This window comes from Homo sapiens, chromosome 19 (assembly GCF_000001405.40).
Source record: "Homo sapiens chromosome 19, GRCh38.p14 Primary Assembly".
NCBI classification, from domain to species: domain Eukaryota; kingdom Metazoa; phylum Chordata; class Mammalia; order Primates; family Hominidae; genus Homo; species Homo sapiens.
This window is the reverse complement of record NC_000019.10, coordinates 50,937,631-50,943,302: the sequence shown is the minus strand read 5'-3', so window position 1 is coordinate 50,943,302 and position 5,672 is coordinate 50,937,631. Positions and strand designations below refer to the sequence as shown.

The 5,672-nt window shown below is 46.7% G+C and overlaps 1 annotated feature.

Annotated features, from left to right (window-relative positions):
* Positions 4,102-4,265: a silencer, noted in NCBI's record as "fragment chr19:51442294-51442457 (GRCh37/hg19 assembly coordinates)". NCBI's record gives its function as "represses an EF-1alpha promoter that drives an FKBP-Casp9 reporter gene in an ReSE screen in K562 erythroleukemia cells {active_cell/tissue: K562}" and the evidence as "EXISTENCE:reporter gene assay evidence [ECO:0000049][PMID:32094911]".

The following is a 5,672-nucleotide window of genomic DNA, read 5'->3' as shown; positions in this document are numbered from 1 at the left end:
TCTTCCTGTGTCTCCTCCCTGTGCAGGGTGGCTGTGAACAAGTCATATCTCCGCCTCCAGGCTCATGTGTTTTGTCTATGAGGTCACTTGGGTTGTGAGAAACAGAGGTCCAGTCAGACTACTTTTCACCTTCTTCATAAATATTGGCCAGGTGGCTATTTTTTATTTTCATTTATTTATTATTATTATTTTTTTTTTTTTGCGATGGAGTCTCACTCTGTTAACCACACTGGAGTGCAGTGGCACAATCTCGGCTCACTGCAACCTCCACCTCCCAGGTTCAAGCGATTCTCCTGCCTCAGCCTCCCAAGCATCTGGGATTACAGGCGTCCACCACCACGCCCAGCTAGTTTTTGTATTTTTAGTAGAAACAGGGTTTCACCATGTTGGCCAGGCTGGTCTCGAACTCCTGACCTCAAGTGATCTGCCCGCCTCAGCCTCCCAAAGTGCTGGGATTACAGGCATGAGCCACCACACCCGGGCCCATGTGGCTACTTTGCACCAGGAATGGTTCCATGTGCTGGGGATAAGGCATTGGGCCAAACAGACCAAAAAGTTCCTGCCTTGTAGAGCTCACATTCCAGGAGTGGAAGACAGACAATAAAGAGAGAGATAATTGGGAGGCCAAAGCAGGCGAATCACAAGTTCAGGAGATCGAGACCATCCTGGCCAACATGGTGAAACCCCCTCTCTACTAAAAATACAAAAATTAGCTAGGCATGGTGGCATGCACCTGTAATCCCAGCTACTCAGGAGACTGAGGCAGGAGAATTGCTTGAACCTGGGAGGTGGAGATTACAGTGAGCAGAGATCACGCCACTGCACTCCAGCCTGGCGACAGTAAGATGCCAGCTCAAAAAAACAAAAGAGAGAGAGAGATAAACTTGTATGTGCCATAGTAATTATGTAAGTGACATGAACACAATGAGAGCAGGGCATAAGGCAAGAGAGGAAATGTCGTGAGTTGGTGGGGGGGGTCTCTACATTGGATGATCAAGGAGGGCATGGGAGGCAGCATAATGCCTCCCTCCCACCTCGAAACGCCATCTTAATTTCTGGAGCCTGTGAATATGTTACCTTCTATAGCAAGGGGGCTTTGCTGATGTGATTAAGGGTCTTGAGATGGGGAGATGATCCTGGATTATCTGGGTGGACCCAATATAATCAGAAGGGTCCTTATAAGAGGGAGGCGGAAAGATCAGAATGAGAGACTGGAAGATGCTATGCTGCTGGCTTTGAAGACAGAGGAAGATGAGCATGGTGGCTCACGCCTGTAATCCCAGCACTTTGGGAGGCCAAGGCAGGGGCATGGCTTGAGGCCAAGAGTTCAAGACCAGCCTGGGCAACATAGGGAGACCCCATCTCTAAAAAAAAAAAAAATGTTTTTTAATTTGCCAGGTGTAGTGGTGTGTGCCTACAGTCCCAGCTACTCGGGAGACTGAAGTAGGAGGATCACTGCACTCCAGCCTGAGCAACAGAACAAGACCCAATCTCTAACAATAGTAATAATAATAATAATAATAATAATAATAATGATGATGATGATGAAGGTGAAGGAAGGGGCATGAGCCAAGGAATATGGGCAACCTCTGGAAGGCAGGAGGACATGGGAATGGACCCTCCCCTAGAGCCTCCAGAAGGAACCAGCCCTGCCGACCACCTTGATTTCTGCCCAGTGAGATCTTTAGGACTTCTGACCTCCCAAACTACAATAGAATAAATCTGTGTTGTTTTAAGCAACTAGACTCTCAGTGATTTGTTACAGTAGCCACTGTAACAAACACAAAGGGCCTCGCCGAGGAGGTACCATTTGAGACTGAGAGGATAGAGTGGCCAGCCCCAGGCAGGGCGCAGTGGCTCATGCCTATAACCCCAGCACTTTGGGAGGCTGAGGTAGGTGGTTACTTGAGGTCAGGAGTTCAAGACCAGCCTGGCCAACATGGTGAAACCCTGTCTCTACTAAAAATACAAAAACTAGCTGGGCGTGGTGTTGCACACCTGTAATCCCAGCTACTTGGGAGGCTGAGGCAGGAGAATCACTGGAACCTGGGAGGCAGAAGTTGCAGTGAGCCGAGATTGCGCCACTGCACTTCAGCCTGGGTGATGGAAGGAGACTCCATCTCAAAAAAAAAAAAAAAAAGAAAGAAAGTGGCCAGCCCCATGAACATCTGGGGCACTGATGTTCCAGACAGAGAGGAGGTCAAGTGCCAAGTGCTGAGATTGGAGCATGCTGGACATTCTCCAGGAGCTGAAAGAAGACCCATAGAGCTGGACACTTGTTTGTTTTCTCTGAGAATTTGGGAAGTCATTGGAGGTTTTCCAGCCGGATCTGGTTCATGCACAAAGGAGAACATTCTGGCTCTTTGTGGAGAACAAACTGGAGCTGCTTGTTGGCCAGGGTAGAAACGGGAGGTAGGTTATTGTATTAGTCCATTCTCAAGTTGCTGCAAAGATACTACCTAAGACTGGGTAATTTATAAAGGAAAGAGGTTTGATTGACTCATAGTTCAGCATGGCTGGGGAGGCCTCAGAAAACTTACGATCATGGTAGAAGGGGAACCAAACATGTCCTTCTTCACAGGGTGGCCGAAAGGAGAAGGGCAAACTGAAGGGGGAAAATTATAAAACCATCAGATCTTGTGAGAACTCACTACTATCACAAGAATAGCATGGGGGGACTGTCCCCATGATCTAATCACCTCCCATGAGATCCCACCCCCAACACGTGGGGATTATGATTCAAATTAAAATCCAAGATGAGATTTGGGTGGGGACACAGGGCCAGGCCATATCAGTTATCAAAAGAATATCCATTAATTTAAATTGGAAAATGTCAGGGCAGAAGCAGCTGCCTGTGGGATCTCTATCCCTTCTCCCCTAGGTATGTGTCTTTCACGGTCTCTTTCTTCTCATCCCACCTCTGTTTTCTCATTACATTGACTGCCTGTTGCCTATCAAAGCATCTCTTCTCTCCCCCATAACTGGCTCCAGTTACTGGGTTTTCTTTGTTCATAGCCCCTAGAGAAAAAATCTGGTTGGCTGTCCTAGGGTCAGATGCAGACTCTATCTCTAGTCTGAAAGGTGGGCCCACAGAGTGCAACATGGATCCCCCAGCCACCCCTTCATCCATAGCAGTGGGCAGGGCAGGGCCCCTAAGAAGGTTGTGGGCGTGGTAGTCATTGAAATGGACAACACATCAACACATGGACATTCTAGTCTTCAGCACTTTCTGAGTGACCTGTGTAAAGGTCATTTGTACTTTTTCTGGACCTCAGTTTCTCTACCTGTAAAATGGGAGGATTGAAACGTAATGATCTCCACGTGCCAATCCAGCTCTAAGATTTCTCAAGATACTCACAGGTGGTTATAGAAAGTCACTCCAGGGAATACTTTGGAAATTGAACACTCTAGAAAAGGAATTACACTAGAAAATTTTGTCAGTAACAAAATACCCAACTCAAAGTGGGTTAAGCAATAAGGACGTGTATTATTTCACATAATAAGAAGCCCCAAAAGAGGGAAGTACTGTGGTTTGGTGATTCCTACATTACATCATTAGGGACCCATCTTTCTTCTCTACTGCCCTCTGCATTCATTCATTCATATATTTATTCAACTCATGAGCACCTATGAGAGCCAAGTAATATTATAGACACTTGGGATAGACTGATTAATAAAACAGACACCAAACCCCTGCCTTCCTTAAGCTTATGTTCTAGCAGGAAGAAGAAAATATGTCAGCTTTCTCCTTTAGGCTTGTAATCTCGTGGCTGTAAAATGGCTGCCACAGCTCCAGACATCACATCCTCACGCACCATGACAAAAGGCAGGAAGGAGAGACTCTGTTGGCAGAGCTCTCTTCATTAGGAAAGAAAGTCTTTTCCAGAGTCCCCCCACACCCCTGGATCTGTTCTTGGGTCTCAATGACCACTCATTGGAGAAGGTCCCAATGCTGACACTCTAGCTTCAAGAGAAGCTGAGAAAGTGAGTTTCTGACATTTCTCTGTCACGGGTGCAGTCCTTACCAGCAAGGAAGAAGAGATAAGAAGTGTCTGCCTGATGAACAGTCAAAGGTGTGAGAGAAGGACACATACATCAAAATGATCCAATAATTGTCACCTTTATCTTCCCCTTTGTGCCTAGCCATTTACAAGTCCTCACGACTTTTTAGGGGACATTCCAGAAAGACTGGGCTGCCAGGGTGTGTGGTGTGGTGTGAAAATAGGGGCAAATAGTACTGGGTGACAGTTGTAATTCAATGTTTGTTTTTTGTTTTTGTTTTTCTTTAGACAGAGTCTCACTCTGTCACCCAGGCTGGAGTGCAGTAGCGTATTCTCGGCTCACTGCAACTTCCACCTCCCCAGTTCAAGCAATCCCCATGCCTCAGCCTCCTGAGTAGCTGGGACTATAGGTGTGAGCCACCATGCCTGGCTAATTTTTGTATTTTTAGTAGAGACAGGGTTTCGCTATGTTGGCCACACTGGTCTCGAACTCCTGACCTCAGGTGATCTGCCTACCTCAGCCTCCCAAAGTGCTGGGATTACAGGCGTGAGCCATCTGGCCTCAATTTTTTTTTTCTTAATCTTAAAAAAATCTAGATAGGAGCAGAATCCTAGCTAAGGGGCAGTCTTGAGCACATTTTCCAAAATGATGTTTCCGGTTAAGCTGCTTTGAGGAACAAGAGAAGATTCATGCTGGCTTCAATAGTAAATAAGTTTTAATTTCACATATCAAGAAATCCAGGTAAGGGCAGCTCCAGACACAGGGCGTCAGGCTGTGTTTCGCTTGGTTCTCCTCGGCGGGGGGTCATCATCCTTAAGATCAACACCCGTAGTGGGTCTGTCTTTGAGAAGGATGATGCTTTTCCAGAAACCACCCCAGCAGAATTTTATCTTATTCTTACTGGCCAGAATTGGGTCACATGTCCTTTCCTAAACCAGTCACAGACTGGTGGGGTGGGGTGGGGAGTGGGGTGGAGAGGTTAACATGGTTGATTTGAACCAAACAGGATTATTCTTTCACGATGGAGTGGAGGACCTCCCCTAAAGCATGTAGAAGCTGCTCCTTGAGAGAAATCAGGATTCCGACATCAAAGAACGGGAGGAACAACCAATGATGTCTGCCCCATAGATGCCCTTGCAGCAATATTTTAAATTAACTTTTATTGAAAGATAATGCACAGGGCCGGGCATGGTGGCTCACACCTGTAATCCCAGCACTTTGGGAGGCCGAGGCGGGTGGATTACCTGAGGTCAGGAGTTCGAAACCAGCATGGCCAATGTGGCGAAACCCTGTCTCTACTAAAAATACAAAAATTAGCCGGGCTCGGTGGTGGGCACCTGTAATCCCAGCTACTCGGGAGGCTGAGGCAAGAGAATCGCTTGAACCTGGGAGGTGGAGATTGCAGTGAGCCAAGATCACGCCATTGCACTCCAGCCTAGATGACAGAATGAGACTGTCTCAAGAAACAAAAAAAGAAAGAAAGAAAGAAAGAAAGAAAGAAAGAAAGAAAGAAAGAAAGAAAGAAAGAAAGGAGAAAGAAAGAAACATGCACAGAAGTATCATAAATGGCAGTGAAGTTTCACAAAACAGAACACACCCTTGTAACCAGCATTCAGACAGAGCCACGGAACCTAAGCATCTCCTCAGAAAAACCAGTGGGGTCTTCCTTG